The following is a 17,586-nucleotide window of genomic DNA, read 5'->3' as shown; positions in this document are numbered from 1 at the left end:
TTGTGAGCTGATCTGAGTAGGCTTCATTTACTGCACCTCAACAGGCCCTGGAGAGCCGGGGACCTCACTGTCATGGTGGGACAGATGCCTACGGGAGGAGAAGTGGGCAGGAACAGGGCCCGGGTGGGAACGAGTGGGCAGTACTGCTGCCCTCTGCGTGGCAGGACCACACTAGATCCCTGCAGCCCACTTGGCACCACCTCTGGAGAAGGGCAGCTCAAGCTGGTGACTGCTCCGTGGAGGGTGGCCCTGGTGTCGAGGGACCTGCCCCCCGGCAGCGAGGAAGGACTGCAGGGTCCCACCTTCCACCTGGAGAGAAGCTGAGTCAGTGAAGGACGGAAAAAGCATGTTCGATGTTTGAAGACTTGTTAGAGGAAAAGAGGAGACTGTTCTGTGCTCTCCAAGGGTCTTGGGTTCCAAAAGTCGAGGGTCCACTGTTGGCTCAGTGTAGGGGAAACCTTCTCCTGTGCCAGCCTGCTACAGCACTGGAGGCCTTGGGCATAGGAAGCTCTGCATTTCTGCAGCTGAAGGACCACACTCCGAAGGGTGCTACAGGGCCTGCAAGTGTGGCATTGATGGTGTGGACTGGACGATCATAAAGAACACCTTTACCTGCAGAGAGGACTCAGGCCCAGGGCAGAGACAGCCCCAGGCCATTACGGTGAATGTGAGTCAACTGCAGAATCAGATGCGCCCCTGGCCCACAGGACAGGCACATGTGGCCCCTGATCCAGATTGAGCCCGTGGAGCAGCAGAGGCTGAGAAAGAGGAGGAGCAGAGATGTGTCTCTGGGATGAGGCAGCTGCAGTAGGAGGAGAGCTCGGAGAATACGCAGAGATATTAACAAGGGATTTTAAAGACATTTTGCATTGAGATGTGCAGGGTCATCTCTTCCTTTACCTCCCCATGAACATTTCAGTGAAATCTGCCAGACTCACCAGTGCTATTGGAGTTGGACTTCTCTCTGGGAGTGGGTATGTTTGGAGTGGGAGGGGGCCCTTGGGTGGGAAACCCAGTGACCTCTTAGGGGGAGAGCAGGACAGGCCCAAGGAGGCTCACATGCTATATGGGTTACACACCTTGTTCCTTTCTTTTCTCAGGGTCTGGAACGAACTTCCTGTCCAGGTGGCTTTAGGTGGTCCCTATGGGTCACCTCCCCGCCAACCTCAGGATGCCCTTCTCTTTGCCAGACAGCTGCGGGTAGACTCAAGCCACAGGTGCCCCTCTGAACCCCTTCACCAAAGCCCGACCCAGAGCTGTTCCTCTGCAGTGAATGTCCCACTGCCCCGTGTCTGCTAACTGGAGATTGAGAAGGAAAGGAGGCTATTTGAGAAGTTGGCCTAAAATGATTATGGTCCCTCTCCAGGGAGACAGGTCACAACATGGGAGAGCATTCCAGGGGTGATAGAAACAGGCCTCAGTGAGGGATGGAGCAAGGAGAGAGGAAAGAGGGAGAGGAGGCGAGGGGAGGGAGAGAGAGAGAGAGAGAGCAGTGGAAATTCTTGCCTGGTGTCTTTCCCAGAAAGCGACCTGTGTGGAATTTCTCTGTGGAATCAACCCATTAGCTTAGCTTGGCAAAGCGGATTGGGGCTATGGCCATTTCTGGGGCAGCCCCGATTCGGCAGGTTTTTGTAATTATCTGTTAGTAATTATCTGCGAAGACTTTGGTAAACAGCAGTCTGTTTAGCCATCCTTGAAGAATTAAATCATTACATTTATTGCTCTATCCACTCGCTATTAACCTCCTAAGAGGCTTTTCCCCCTCAAGACTAGGGTTTTCATTTGATGAACTCTAAGGAGAACATTCGAGTCTGGAGGCATCGGGGTTGAGGAGCAGCTCTCCCTTGGTGAGTCCGTGCCAGGCATCTGCTTGTGGCCGGCATCCCTGACAATGGCAAATGCATTTCAGGAAAGCAGAAGTCCCTCAGAGGGGCAGATCTGAGGAAGCCAAGAGCCTGGCTTGGAACTGTCTGTAGGATTCTGGAGAGACACAGGCAGGCAGGCCAGCTGGGCCCTTCCTGGGGTGGACGGATGAGTGTGGCTGGCATGGTCTGGAGTCGTGGGCTTTAGGGCTAGGAGGAATGATCAAAGTCCTTGTCTTTCCTGGAGTGGGCAGTGAGCTCAGCGGCTTGGAGGAAAGTCAGATGAAGACCAAGGACATGGATTCAGTTAGGGTCTGCCCTGTCTTTCGCTCTGGGCTAGGGTCACTCTTTTACCTCTAGACGTTTCAGAGATAGCCCATGACCCACGAAGATGGGCCCATTGCAGGATATGAGGGCCCCTGATCCATGGAACAGGCAGGCGAGGCCTCTGAGCCAGACACTGCTAGTGAGGACGGATGGATCCTCCCAGGGCAAGCCTGAGAAACCGTACCGGTCCACACGCCTTTGATGACCCAATATTTGCTGCCCAATGTCCTGCTGGGTGGCATCTGCCAGCTGAGGGGCTTTGGAGGTGATGACGGTGGGGGTGTTCTGTGCTCCGAGCTGCCTCATGGGGCATGGTGGGATTCTGCTCCCAGGCATACTTCTCTCTGAGGGCCTCCTGCATTGGCAGGAATGAGGCATTGCCCTGCCACACAGCAAGTGGGCAGCGGGCATCCAGGAGGCCCTGGGCAGGGTCCCAAAGGGCCTTAGTGCTGCGTGCCTACTGTGTCCAGGCACTGCTCAGCAGGGGGTGCACATTGCTAAGGAAACCCAGGCTTGGCCCTTGCTCTCATGCAGGGTTTTGCTGAGAGGGAAAGACCGTAATAAATCTTGAGATGTGACCAGGACCAGCAAGACATTGTTGAGCCTCCAGACTCAGGCCACCGGAGCTAATAAAGGATTGGATTTTCAGGCCTAATTCTCCAGCTTGTTCCTTAGACTCTGAAAGCCATTATGCAGGAAGGAAGTTAGAGCAATAAATGAATCGGATGAGTGCAAATTCATTTGGAAGAGGCCATAAGAATGGTTCATTTCAGAAATTCTTCTGAAGAGGTCCTTCTCTATCTTCTTTTCAACAATCAAGTGTACAGTAATGGAACTTTGCAAAATTCCAAACTGGAGGATAAGACTGGTCAACAGATTTCTAAAATATAGAAATGAATTTACATGCAAGGACTTAATAGGTGGAAAACAGAATGATTCACATTTTAATACAAATTACCTTCATTCCTAAGCTCTAGGAAATAGGGATTGTGTCAGAAAATTGGGGCTGGACAATTGCTTTACCATCAATGTAAGGACTTTTAAAGCTGGGCTGCATCAGAATGACTGGAGGGAGATTAAAACAAAAATGCCAGTCCCCACCGATCTACTGAACTCCAGACTTCTGGGGCTTGGGAGCTGCTATGGTTTGGCTGTCTGTCCCCACCGAAATCTCACCTTGAATTGTAATAATTCCCAGGTGGCAAAGGCAGGACCAGGTGGAGGTAACTGGATCATGGGGGCAGTTTCCCCTGTGCTTTTCTTGTGCTAGTGAGTGAGTTCTCATGAGATCTGATGGTTTTATGAGGGTCTTCCCTCTGCATTCGGCACTCATTCTCTCTCCTGCTGCCCTGTGAAGAGGTGCCTTCCACCATGATTGTAAGTTTCCTGAGGCTTCCCCAGCCATGCGGAACTGTGAGTCAATTTAACCTCTTTCCTTTCTAAATTACCCAGTCTTGGTCAGTTCTTTATAGTAGTGCGAAAACAAACTAATACAGGGACCTCAAGTCACATAATATGTGATATGTCCTGATATGTACTGAAAAGATGTGGAAGGGTGTTTGGAAAGAGACCAGTGCCAAAGCTGCCACTGATGGAAAACACACCAGAGCCCAAGTACTGTTGCCAATGCCAGTGGCTACTGGGCAGGCTTCGGAGACCCCTCAGGTCCGGCCCTTTGCCTTCTTTCTCCCTCTCTAGCTCCTCCTCCTTCCCTGTTCTGGCTCTATCTTGCCATTGCCCCTTGGGCTACTCTTGTCCTGCTTGTGGGCACCCTTGTGTCCGAGCTCTGTCACCTTTTGTTCTTTGGACAGGAGCAGCTTCCAGACAAGCCATTGTCCCATTGCGAATGTGAGTGGACCCCTCCAGACTCACTTTGCCATGGTATAGGGCTAAAAGGCCCCTCTCCATTGGAGTGAAGGAGGGGAGGAGGCAGGGCTGAAGGAGTCCAGGTGACAGCACTGCTCAGGTAACTGATGCACACTCAGTTAACTGGTGCACCCTTTAGAACACCTGTGCATGGGAAAGGCCGTGCCGTCCTTGGAGCAGTGAGGCACTATTTGGCAGCCGAAACTCCTTCAGTGTGAGATATGCCCAGCAATCACATTCAGCCCCGTTCTGGGCACTTTGCCTCCCCCTGCCTGCACCTGTGAGGACCTTCCATGGATCACAGCCCACACCAAGCTTTAGTGGAGTGTTGGGGGAACTGTCTACAATGGGCCCAGCTGCAGGGAGAAAGCCAGGCAGGAATCTGGGGACATGTACTGAATCTGTGGATGAAGAGTTGATGGAGATGCTCAACTCTTGGAGCTGGACTGGCAGCTCAGGGATGTCCCCAGCCAGGGCTGAGGCTCCTTCCTGGTGTCATGTGTGAGGACCCACGGGCTAAGGCCTGATGGCGGACTCTGGGAAGGCTCTCACCCCAGACATGTGCTGAAAGGTCCCACTGCAACTGCAGGAAAGGGCTCAGGAAGCTGGGACCTTCACTCTGGTCTCAGCCCAGCCCTGAAACTCACTGAGACTGACTTGGCTCAATCTTATAGTGTCCATGCACCTACCATGGGCAGACCCTGGCCAGGTGCTCAGGTGACACAGGTAGCTCAAGGTCCCTGGCCATGTGGAGCCTCAGACACATGGGATAAGCAGATAGATTCTGAGATAAGGCTGATAATAAGGGCATGCAAAAACTGCACAGGGGCCTGTGGAGGGAGACATCCATGTTGTGAGTGGGGTGGTGTGAGGGGATAGGGTGAGGACTAGAGGAGGTAACATTTGAATTGGACTTTGGAGGTTGAGTAGGAGCCCACTGTGGGAGAAGAGCCTGCCAAGCAGAGGGAACATCGTAAAGACAAGGGCCCCAGACGGCTGTCACACTCTGGGGACTGCAGAGAGTGTGGTGTGCATGGGCTTGGGGTCCAGTATCCTCTTTGCTCGGCTCCAGCACCCTGTGATTCCAACCCATGGTGGGATTGCTTAGTTGATGTGGGAATTGATCTCCAAGATGGCTTCCGTGATGATTCTACCTCCAGGTATTCATGCCCTTGTGGTGTCCTCTTCCACACTGAACAGGGCTGGCCTATGTAACCAGTAGAAAACTGTGGAAGTGATGGGGCAGGACCAGTAGAATACTAGAGAAGTGATGGCGTGGGACAACTTCCAAGGCCGCATCACAGAAGGCATTGCAGCTTCTGCCGTGGTCTCCTGGACTGCACACTGGGCAAGCCAGGCACCATACTGTGAGGATGCTCAAGCAGCCCCGAGGAGAGGCACACGTGGAGAGGAACTGAGGCCTCCTGCCAACAGCCACGTGAGTGCACCACCCAGAAGTGGGTCCTTCAGCCTCAGACAGGCTTTCAGAGGACTGGAGCCCTTGCTGACCTCTGACTGCAGTCCTGTGAGAGACCCTAAGACACAACTTCCCACTCACACTGCTCCTGAATTCCTGACCACAGAAACTGTGAGAGATGTGAAGTGCTTATTGTGGGAAGCTTTGTTATGTACTTTCTTACATAATGCTAGATTACAAGTGCAGTTGCTGCCCATGGGTGCCACCTGCTGGTGTTCCTGCCCCTGTGTACCCCCTCCCCTTGAGTGTGTGCCGTGATGGGATGTCACTCTGAGACTGCACAGCAAAGCCTCTGGCTTCTACCTTTCTCACTCTCTTGCTCTCTTGTCTCCCTTGCTCTGAGGGAAACTGGCTGCCATGTTATAAGCTGCTCTATGGAGAGGCCCATGTGGCTAAGAATTGAGGGAGGCCTCCTGCTGATAGCCAGTGAGGACCTAAGGACCTCAGTCCCACATCTGGTGCAGAGCTGCACTGGCCAACAACCATGTGGCTGAGCTTGGAAGTGGATCCTCCCCCAACTGAACCTTGAAATGACAGACGCTCCAGCAGGCACCATGATGCCAGCCTTGTAAGAGACCCTGAGCCAGAACACACAGCTGAGATGTGTCTGGATTCCTGACCTGCAGAAACTGTGTGGCAATAAACATTTGTTGTTTTAAAGCTGCTAAGTTTGGGGGCCATTTGTTACACAGCAGCAGATAACAAATACAGTTCTGATTAATGGCACCAGCCTCACCTGTCCTATTCCTAGATATGCTTAGCTTAGCTTTGGTCTAGACTTGGGTCTCCATGTACAACTATAACCTTGGTCATCTGAAGCTCAGAGTAGGAGGGGGTGTATTGAGGGAATGAGACTACGAGGAGGCACACCCCAATATCTGCTGCTTTCTGGAAAACTCAGCCTCCAAAACTAAGTCAGCAACCATAGGAGATGGCCGTTGCAAGGTGGTTAAGCATAAGGGAATAACACAGGTTCGGAGCCAGCTTCTACCACCTCTTTCCTTTAACAGAGTTACAGGTCCTCCCTGAGCTCCCATTTCTCAGGGGCCCTCCTGAAGCAGAGAAGGAAGCCACAACATGGGCAGTCTAACTAGCACCAGCCAGAGAGCAGACACGAAGACGAAAGGAGAGGTTCTTTGTAAGGAACTTAGCCCTGGAACACGGCAGGTGCTTGTTATGAGCTTGGCCTTGTAGTTATCAGGGCACTTGGCATCATAGGCATCACCCCAGCCACTGTTGGCATGAAGACCTTGCAATGCCATCCTGGTTCCTGGACCCGGGCATATTAACGATGATGCCCACATCTGAAGGACAAGAAGGTCTCAGTCGTGCAATCACAGAGGATTCACCTGGAGCTTCCCTGAGGAATGTTCTTTTGGGCCGAGTCACCCGCTTGCTCCGGTGAGGCTGAGCTTGAGCTTTGAATCCTGCCTGGAATACAAAGGCCCCATCAAACACTGCCAGGCTCACCAGCTCCCCTCCACCGCATGCGCCAAGGGTCTCCCTCGCTTGGGTGTTTATTTCTTGCTGTAAGAAGCGATGATTTAATTCTTGCCTGGGATATCATTCAGCCCAAGTTCGTGCTGAAGTGAGGCATATTTCAGCACTCACCAATGTCCATATAGATAAAAGAGAAAAAAAAGAGAGAGAGAAAACAACCTCAACCAGCCTCTTCAAGAGCTGTGCATTTGAAACCTGTTTCTTAAAGATGGATTGCCCGTTAGGCTGCTAAGAGGTTTTTCTTGACTTGTCAACATTTTATGCCCCCACAAACATTCTTGGCTATAAATTATTCATTGCCCAGTTAGTGGTTAAAAAAAAAAAAGCTGCCCGGGGCTGAGATACTTTCTTAATTCCCCCTCTGCTTTTCAGATCCAAGTTGTTTTTGTCCCTCCTCCTGCTGGAAAAGTAGAAATAACTGGAAGTCTCTGGACTCAGAGGTGCGTGGCTATGGCCGGATGAGAAAATAGAGTTGAGTACAGCATGAGCTTGGCTGGGGTCAGGGATGGGGGCAATTACAGTTTTGGGGTCAAGCCTGGACACTGGGGTCAAATGTAATTAACATATATTTGTTATGTTACAATTAACACATATTTGTTATAATATATGTTAATTATATTTGACCCCAGTGTCCTGTCTGATCCCAAAACTGTAATTGGTCAAATATATGATAATATAGGCAGTCTCTACCTCCACTGTAATGGAGAAATGGGAAGTAGGTGTGTTTGGGGCTCTTTTTCCCCCTTTCTGTTGGCAGAGACTCCAAGGTTTTCACGAAAAGTCTAGAGGAGGCTTGATTCTGTTCTAGTCCCAGTCATTTCAGAGTCCACAGCTGGAGAAGATGTCAGCCTTTCTCTGCTCACCTGATTCCACCCTCCCTGAGCCCCTCCCCAGGTCAGGGGCCTGCCAGGAGATAGTGCCCACCTCGTCCTTCCTCATGCCCACCCACTTCTGTACGGCACACACCAGGCCTTGCTCAGCCTCTGCAATTTCTGATGGCAACTCCCCAGGGCAACTGACCCCTCCTCCAGGTGGATTCTCAGGCCTACCATGGTTCCGCCCCCACAGGGTGTGGAGAAAGGTTGGGGGTGGAATTAGGCTTTAGGGCTTGGGCCCTGAATTAGTTTCCAATGGCAGCTGCAACAAAGCACCATAAACTGGGTGGCTTGAAACATGCCCCGGTCTGCAGAACTGAGCGCTTCTGAGACCCTAGGTAGAACCGCTGCTTGCTTCTCTCCAGCTCCCCAAGGTGACTGATGCTCCCGGCCCACAGCTGAAATCTCTACCTCCACGGTCACAGGGAGTTCTCCCTGTCTCTGTATGTGTTCAAGCCCCTCTTCTTATAAGGACAACAGTCATATTGGATTTGGGATCCACCCTACTCTGGTACAACCTCATCTTCACTTCACTAATTACATCTGCAGTGACCCCATTTCCAAACAAGGTACTAAGGGTTATGACTTCAGCGTATCTTTCTGGGGGACACAATTCAACCCATCACAGGGTCAGAGAAGGGAGGAGCCCCCAGCGATCAGGCCCCAGAGTAGAGCATCAGAAGCCAAAGAGGTCACATCCTACAGAGCCCCCAGCTTCCCCAGCAATACATTTGCACTTTATTATCCTGAATGACTGTTGTCCCCAGGCTTTGAAACAGGACCTTGCTGTGCAGGTGCCAGGCCCTGGTGTGTGCCTAGAAACCTGTCTTTTCACATAGAAGTAAAGGAATGTGAGAAAACTGGGCTATGGGACTCGCCCACGTCAAATGGGGACAGGACCTTCCCGGGGAGACCAGCTGCTTTCCATTTCGTCCCAGCAGCCGGGTGTGAGGGCAGAGCTGTCCACTTGCTATTGGTAGCAGATGTAGCCTCTTGCTGGCTCCCGAGTTATTTCTGTGACTCCATCTTGACTCCCAATTTTTCTCCCCTCTCCCCTCATTCTTCCCAAGCATTAGGACTTTGCTAGGGTCGCATTTCTGGGTGAGCTCTAGGAAGTCCTCTGAGCTCTGCTGGTCACCCAGAGAACTGGCCAGTGTTGGCTAAGCATCTACTGCGCCAGTGTCCTGCTGCACAAGGCTGTTTCCTGTAGGGAGTGACGCATGGGGCTGTTTGCTGGGTCTGATGTTGGACATGGTATTATTTACCCCCAACCCTACCCCCTAAACTTGGCAAAAAGGATTAATGATTTTATTTCCAAATATTTGTGTTGGAAATTAATGCTGAGGGAGAGAAGAGGCCGAGTTTGGCTTTCAGAGAAGGCTCCTAGCTGTTGGGTTTGTAAACACCAGTGGATGTCTGCATTTTGTCAAGCCAGTCCTCCTTCTGGTTTCCATCACCCTCCATTAGCCCAGCTACGGCCATAGGGTATCGGATTCCATTACGCAGACAGCAGACCAAAGAGGCAGAGTCCCAATCATCCCTGTCCATTCCCATTGGATGGGATTGTTATTTTCTGCGTCATTTACCTTTGGTTCAATTCAAGTTTATTTTAACACAGATTAAGCAGCCTTTAAATGGAGACCCTGGGGTTCCTCCAAGCCTAGGCTGCCTCTAAGCGTGGGAGCGGGTCAGTTTGGAACAAAAGCAGCTGAGGGTGAGAACAGGAGATTGGGATAAGCCTCTGACACATGACAGTTGAGGAAGAAAGGAGATAAGCACAAAGCACTTTGTATTAGTCCATTTTCACTGCTGCTGATAAAGACATACCTGAGACCAGGTAATTTATAAAGAAAAAGAGGTTTAATGGACTCAGAGTTTCACATGGCTGGGGAGGCCTCACAATCATGGTGGAAGGCGAAAGGCACATCTTACATGGTGGCAAGCAAGAGAGAATGAGAGTCAAGTGAAAAGGGAAGCTTCTTATAAAACCATCAGATCACGTGAGACTTATTCACGACCATGGATGGGAACACTATGGGGGAAACCATCCCCATGATTTACCTCCCACTGGGTCCCTCCCACAACACATGGGAATTATGGGAGCTACAATTCAAGATGAGACTGGGGTGGGGACACAGCCAAACCATATCACACTCTCATATACAATATTTTACTTAATCCTCACAATAGCTATCTGTATATCCACTGCACAGATGAGGAGACTGAAGCCCAAAAAGGCCAAGTGATCTGCTCAGGTTACCTAGCTAGTAAGTGGCACAGCTGAACAGGTCCAAGGTTCCTGAATAGAGGATTTCTCCTTCAGGCAGGTGGTTTCCGCTGCCCTCTGATTACTCTGTGGTGAGTGGTGGCCTAGTCCAAATAATGAGCTTTCTTCCTAGGGCTGGGGATCTGAGCAGAAATCTTTGCAGCTGAGTGCTGCCTTCTCACTGGCTGGCTGGGAGCTGCAGGAGCAACACATCTGAGTATGGGCTGCAAAACCAGAGCGGCCTCCGTGCCTGAGGCACTTGATAAGGAATTACTCAGGGAATCCCAGGGAAGGGACGCGCTCCTGGCAGCATCTGGTGAAAATTCTTTTTCCATTCAAAAGCTGAAGAGTCAAATAGAGACTGTTTCTGGAAATGAGAGTTACGCAGGGAGCGCTTGAAAGCATTCTGCAGAAATGTGAACTGTTGCAAACAGAAACGGGAGTAGTGAGACCTCCAAAAATCAATTTATTAATTCATCCCATTGTATTTTCTGCTGTCAAGGTTATTTAGTTTTATTTTTATTGTCATCATTTCCTTTCTTAAGACTGATTTTTTTTGTTTTTCGAGATGGAGTTTCACTCTCATAGCCCAGGCTAGAGTGCAGTGGCATGATCTCAGCTCATTGCAACCTCTGCCTCCTGGGTTCAAGTCATTCTCCTGCCTCAGCCTCTGGAATAGCTGGGATTACAGGTGGCTGCCACCATGCCCAGCTAATTTTTGTATTTTTAGTAGAGTCAGAGTTTCACCATGTTGGTCAGGCTTGTCTTGGAACCCTGACCTCAGATGACCCACCTGCCTCAGCCTCCCAAAGTGCTGGGATTACAGGCATGAGCCACCTCGCCCGGCCAAGACTCAATTTTTTAAAATGAATATTGAGATGAATAGGTAGGCCCTTTGTTTTCTGAATTATTACTTTTGTTAGCAGTTTTGTAGAGGTGTAATTCACGGGTCCAATTCATTCATTTCAAGGGAATAATTCAATCGTTTTTGCTCTTTTCACAGAGTTGTGCATTCCTTATCCCTATCGCTTTTAGAATATTTTCATCATCCTCAGAGGATGCAGCCTGGGGTGTGTGCACAGTCACCCTGGGATGACTGGCTTCAGCAGGGCTCTCTTGGACTATCTCTTTTCCTGATCTCTCCTTAGGGTGCCTGCTTCATTTGAGAATATACCCATCCCATTAGATCCCACTAATTACTTGATGATTGCTCTATCTCTATTGTGGTTTTTTTTTGTTTTTGTTTTTGTTTTTGTTTTTTTTTTGAGACAGAGTCTTGCTCTGTTGCCCAGGCTGGAGTGCAGTGGCATGATTTCGGATCACCGCAGCCTCCGCCTCCTCAGTTCAAGCAATTCTCCCTGCCTCAGCTTCCTGAGTAGCTGGGACTACAGGTGCATGCCACCACGCCTGGCTAATTTTTGTATTTTTAGTAGAGACAGGGTTTCACCGTGTTGCCCAGGCTGGTCTTGAACTCCTGGCCTCAAGTAATCTGCCTGCCTTGGCCTCCCAAAGTGCTGGGATTACAGGCGTGAGCCACTGTGCCCAGCCACTCTATTGTTTTTGAAAATGTCCCAGGGTATAAATTGCTCCAGAGTCTGATTCAAGTAAATCCAGGCAGAAGTAGATTTTGAGGCCAGTCTTTGAGGTTTGTTAGGACCTCAGGAGGGCTCTTCTTGGCTGTCTGTGTCCCTTGTTCTTTCTGGTGAATTAGCTGGTCTTTGGTTTAGCTTGCTCTTAATTAAGAGGAGATGTTGTTTTCAAGAGTGCCCTCAGGCTTGAACTTTACCACAGCCTGTTTCAAATAAAGTCAGTTCCTTTGGGGAAAGCTTCAGAGCTCCCTTTTTTCTTACGGATTAACTTTTCCTCTGGGTAAACTCCCTGAGCTATAACTCTGGGCACTGAGTGGATGGTGGCCTCTGATAATATAATCAAGTATCCAAAAAGATAACTTCTTTAAATTACAAAAAGCAGAAATTGTGCGAGATCTTCTCAGCTTGCTTCTACCCCATAACCTCTGTCCATGAGCAAACTGGAGTGAGGGTGGTTGGGATCTCAGTGTTCTTGGACTGCCATGTCTTTGTTCTATGGGTAGTGTCTGAGAAAAAGGTAGCTCCAGTTTCCCAGCTACACTCACCTGGAACTTAGCCTTTGCAACTTGGAGTTGGAGGGGATGAGAGATGATGGTGGCCTGGCTCTCCTAGTGAGATATGCTGAGCTTTAATTGGGAGATGAGGGCCAGGCATGGTGGCCCCCACCTGTAATCCCAGTACTTTGGGAGGCCAAGGTGGGTGGATCACTTGAGGTCAGGAGTTTGAGACCAGCCTGGCGATCATGAGGAAACCCCATCTTTACTAAAAATACGAAAATCAGCCAGGCATAGTGGCACACGTCTGTAATCCCAGCTACTCGGAAGGCTGAGGCATGAGAATTGCTTGAACCTGGGAGGGGGAGGTTGCAGTGAGCTGAGATTGCGCCATTGCACTCCAGCCTGGGCAACAAAGTGAGGCTCTGTCTCAAAATAAAACAAAAATTGGGAGATGAGGGGAGAGGGAACCCTGATTTCTTGGCCACACCCACCTGGAATGACGCTTCTATCAAACAGAAGTGGAGAGAGTGGGTTACAGCTGAGATACGGCAGATTCTCACTGTTCTTACCAAGTTTTAGTAGCTGTTCTTGAATAAGTGCTTCTTTATTCATTGTATGCCCTTAGTTTCCAGTCTCCAGAGATTTTTAAATGGTTGGTTGTTTTTTTAAAGGTAGTTTTTAAAGGTAGTTTCTGCCAGCCTTGTTTGTTTCACTGGAAAGTGGTTCGTGGAGGTACTCAGGCTGTCATCCTGGAAGTGAAAACTGTTTTGTTTTATTTTAACAATGAAGGCATCTTAATATTACAAATTTACCTCCTAATACAGCTTTGGTAGTATGCAGTAAGCTTTGACAAGTCATATTTTAATTTTCTGTTGTATTTTTTATTCATTTTCTGAAGCCAATGTAAAGAATATTTTAGTTTCCAAATGAATTGTCTATTTTTGGTTCTTCAGACTTTCAGCATTCTAGCCTAGCTTTGTTGCATTTTGTGGTTTGGAGAATGGCTTGCACAGTTTCTGCTTTTTGTAATTTAAAGAAGTTATTTTTTGTATAAGTATTTGGTAAGTGTTTTGCAAATTTCCACTGATAATTTGAGAAAAAGGTGTATTCTCTGCTTGGGGGCACAAAATTCAGAATCTACCAGTTATTTTAACTTGATTATATTGTTATGATTCTCTAGGTCTGTGGTAAACAGTACTCCAATAGATAGAAACAGGTAGAAGGAGCAAAGCAATTTGCAAGGCAAATTTGCAAAGCAATTTCAGCGAGCTCGTGGTGATTTCATGGGAAACACTACCTAGTACATTTTTCTCAGAGGCTTATCTAGGTAGCAGGGCGTACAGATTAATACAACTTTTGGCCTTGGAGGGACCTTGGAGGTTTTCCTGTGCCACTTCCTTGTTTTACAAATGAGAAAACGACTTGTCCAAGTTGGCACAGCTGTCAAGCTCTGAGTCCAGAAGCTGAATCCAGGTCTCCTGGAGTCTGATGAGGGCATGAAGTCTGTGTTTTTGCCCTGCTTTTGGTGTGTTGTATTTTGTTTTAGTGTTCAACATTGTCTCTGAGACAGCTGGTGCCTTAGGACTGGGTAGAGATATGTTTCCTCTGAAAACAATGGCCTTATATATTTAGTTGTAGTTACTTTATAATTTGCAAAGCACCTTACAGTTTGCAAAACACTCATATGTCTCACCTGATCTGATCATCGCAGCCAAGTGCTATTAAAGGCAGTGCTGTGGAGGAGGAAACCAAGGCTGAGAGATGGGTAGTGCTGGGTCTTCTGTCCCCAGAGGCCATGTGCCCCAGTCCCACCTTGGTCTGGAGCCAATGTTCGGACTCTTTTACTTCCTGAGTGATTCTTTTGGGGTAAAATTATAATATCCTGCAGAACTTTTCCTTCCTCCATTGGAACAATGCCCTAGACAGCTGGCTGGGTTTTGCAAACACAGTGAGAGGTCTGGGGAATTCTTATTTTTAAATGCTATTCTACCTTGCACCTGCTAGAGTGGAGTATAATCGGCTGGGTGTGCACTCACAGCACGCCTCTACTTGTCTTCTGGGACTGTCTTGGCCCATTCCCTGCCTTTGCTTTCCTTCCTGGGCAGTTCAGTGGCCCCGGCTCAGCTGCGCTCTCCATCTGTGCTGCTGTTCAGCCAGCCTTCTCATGGGGGTTTGATGCCCTGAAATTGGCCGTGGAGTGATCAGACGCTCCTCACTCCCTGTCCTCACACAATCACTGTTATGTAGGGCTGCACTAGTTATCTGTTACTGGTAGCAGATTACCCCATATTTAGTGCCTTAAAACAAGAATATACACTTACTAACACACACAGGTCCTGCAGTCAGGAATTTGGGAGTGGTAAGTGGTCTAGCTTGCGGTCTCTCATGAGGCTGTAGTCTGATATTGATGGGGCTGCCATCGTTGAAGGTTGGTCTGGGGTTAGAGACTCTCCTCCCCAGGTGGCTCCGCATGTGGCTGGCATGTATGTGCAGCTGTGGGCAGGAGGCCTCAGTTCCTTGCCATGTGCACCTCTCCAGAGGGCTTCTTGAGTGTCTTCACGACATGGTCATTGGTTTCCTGCAGACACCAAGGATGATGATAGCAATGATCCCACAGCACTTGCCTTAGGGGGCGCTATTTACAATTTATATACCTTAGCCAATATTGAGGAACACGAAAGAGCAGATCTCATACTAATAAAATACCTACTCTTTTGGGACCTGAGCGGGTCACTGTTGTGAAATTGGCAAGCAAAAATAACAGTAGTGCTGACGGGCTAACAGCACAGGGTGCTGGGTTCCCAAGTCCTCTGAGCTGTCCCTGTGTCCTTGTCTCCAGGAGTTCTAGGAAGGTTTGCTCAGCTGTCATAGAGGGCGGGCTGGCTTCTGACCAGATACCAGCCATCCTGGCTGGGCTTGCATTTCCAAGGTTGAAGACAGGGAGGAGGATTTTTCAGGTGGTTTCATCTCTGTCCTGCTGGAATTGCTGGTGCCTACTCTTCCCCACAAGCAAGGTCTACACCACTGTAGCTCTCGAGGCCTCTCCAGCAGGTCAGTGATGTGTCTGCTGTATCCACCACAAGGTGAGCCAAGTTTAGATTCATAAACATGTCCCTTCAAGACTTTTCAGATCCTTTCCTTTTTTTTTTTCTCTTTAAAACGGAAGAAAACCATGGTAAGCCTGCTGTAAAGAACAAAACAAGACACAACAAACCACCAGCCACCACTGTGAAGGGTGTAGGAAGTTGTATGAAAGAATTTCAGGGCTTAAGAAGTTCTCAGGAACTTGGAGTTCCTAAGATCACCTCAGTTAATATCTGACGACAATGTCAACGACAGGTGGAAACCACCTGTCCCTGCCTGGGAGGTTAATCGGGATAGGGATGGATGGCAGGAAATGGCTGAGGCTGACTGTGGCTGGACAACCCCTGGCCAGTGTTCCGCCCAAAACCTCAGGGAACTCGCCACCCCATCTCTGCACCTATGCCCCCAGGTCACACACTGCTGCATAAGTTCTGCCAAGCCCCAGGATACCCTGAGCCAGCTGTCCACTCTGATCGGGGTGGGGGTCATGGCTGTCATTTCCACCAAACCCTCACTTAAAATCAGTGGGGGAAAATCAACTACCAATGAAGCATATTAGAGTCACAGTGCACCAAAAACGTGGGCGAGAGGGACGTGGACACTTCAGGATGCTCCTGGCGGAGTTTCTGAGCCAGGGCTTTTCAGGTGACATGGTGTTTTATCAGGTGCCAAAACCTGGGTGTTTTGATATCTCAGCCCTTGGTGAGGCTTGCGGGGGTGGCAGCCAACACCCCCAGGCTGGGAGTGTCCAGCATAAGCAGCCTCAGTGTACCTGAGTGTGCTGCAGAAATAGCCATTTTCTATGTAAGGTGTTGCATTATTTTACCAGGGCTGTGGCAACAAATCACCATAAAGTTGGTGGCTAAAAACAATAGGAATCCATTCTCTCACAGTTCCGGAGGCCGGAAGTTCAAACTCCAGGTGTCGGTGGGGTCACGCCCCGCTGGAGGCTGCAGGGAGAACCCCTTCTAGCCTCTTCACCTTGGGGTGGCTGCGGGCAGTCACCCTTCCCTGCTTGTGGCCACCTCACTCCTGTCTCTGCCTCTGTCTTCCCCTGGCCCTCCCCTCTGTGTATCTTCTGTGTCTCACAAGGACGTGTGTCACTGGATTTAGGGTCCATCCTAAAGCAGGATGATCTCATCTTGAGGTCCTTAAACTACATTTGCAAAGAAAAAAAAAATTCCCAATAAGGTCACAATCACAGGTTCTGCTATCACATGGACGTGTCTTTTTGGAGATCACCCTTCAACCCACTCCAGTGGTGTTGTGAAAGGCTGAGGGATGTCCAGGTCGCCTGGTGACCCTGGCCAGCATCTAGTGTCAGGGGCCCACTTGGCCATGGAGGGATTCCTGGCTCTACTGTGTGCATGACCTTGAACAAGCTGCTCAGCCTCCGTCCACCTCACTCTCCCTATCTGTGAGATGGCAAGTCCTGGGCGTGTTGTGGGATGACCTGAGGCTGTGTGTCAAAGGGCATGGCACACACAGGGAGAGGACTTGCCCAGTGTCCCTGGGGAGCAGGCATTTGATGTGGATGTGAGGACCCAGTCCCTAGTCCAGCACGCATGCCAGGAAGCTGTGCTGCACCTGAGCTGAAGGCCTGGCGTGTCTATAGAGGAATCCAGTCTGTGGTCCCACCGCCCATCCATCCGTCCATCTGTCGGTTTGCCCGCTCACTCCTCTCTCTCTCACCCACTCACTGCCTGCGCAGGGCATGGAGAGCTGTCCTTCCTTACTGGAAGGAACCCACACTTGGAGTGACAGACACATCCAGCAAGAAAGCTGTCTCCTTTCTACCCCTCTGGGCCCTGCCCTGGGGACTCTTACTGACCATGGTGACGGGGCATGCTGGCTTGGGTGGGAGGCTGGGTGTGCGCTGGTATGATCTTTGAAATCATTGTCACCTCCTCTGGGGCAGATGTAAGGACTGGGCCCAAGCTCGAGCTGGCCAGCCTGTGGACTCCAGGTGGAGCACACCAGGCAGCCTCCTGGAGCCAGAAGGGAAGTGTGCAAGATGGTGGCCTGTAGGGTGGCGGCTGCTGTGTAAGTCACTTATTCTTTGACTAAACAATGACTGAGGTCCTGCTGACTGACTGACTGACAGGCTCTGTGCTTGGCCTGGATGACCAAGACCCTGTCCCTACCCTTCAGGAGATCAAGGCCTCATGGTGGGAGCAGGCTTGTCTTGTAAACTGAAATGACAGAACAGCGTGAGAACTGATCATGGGATAAGTACAAGTACA

At 49.8% G+C, this 17,586-nt stretch overlaps 1 annotated feature.

The window, feature by feature from the left end:
• Positions 17,086-17,586: an enhancer, noted in NCBI's record as "H3K4me1 hESC enhancer chr10:125936098-125936598 (GRCh37/hg19 assembly coordinates)". NCBI's record gives its function as "activates a minimal SCP1, AML or CMV promoter by ChIP-STARR-seq in primed H9 embryonic stem cells {active_cell/tissue: H9 hESC(primed)}" and the evidence as "EXISTENCE:reporter gene assay evidence [ECO:0000049][PMID:30033119]".

The sequence above is a fragment of the Homo sapiens genome, chromosome 10, assembly GCF_000001405.40.
Source record: "Homo sapiens chromosome 10, GRCh38.p14 Primary Assembly".
Classification (NCBI taxonomy): Eukaryota; Metazoa; Chordata; class Mammalia; order Primates; family Hominidae; genus Homo; species Homo sapiens.
The sequence above is the reverse complement of the archived record's forward strand: the minus strand, read 5'-3'. Positions and strand labels throughout refer to the sequence as shown.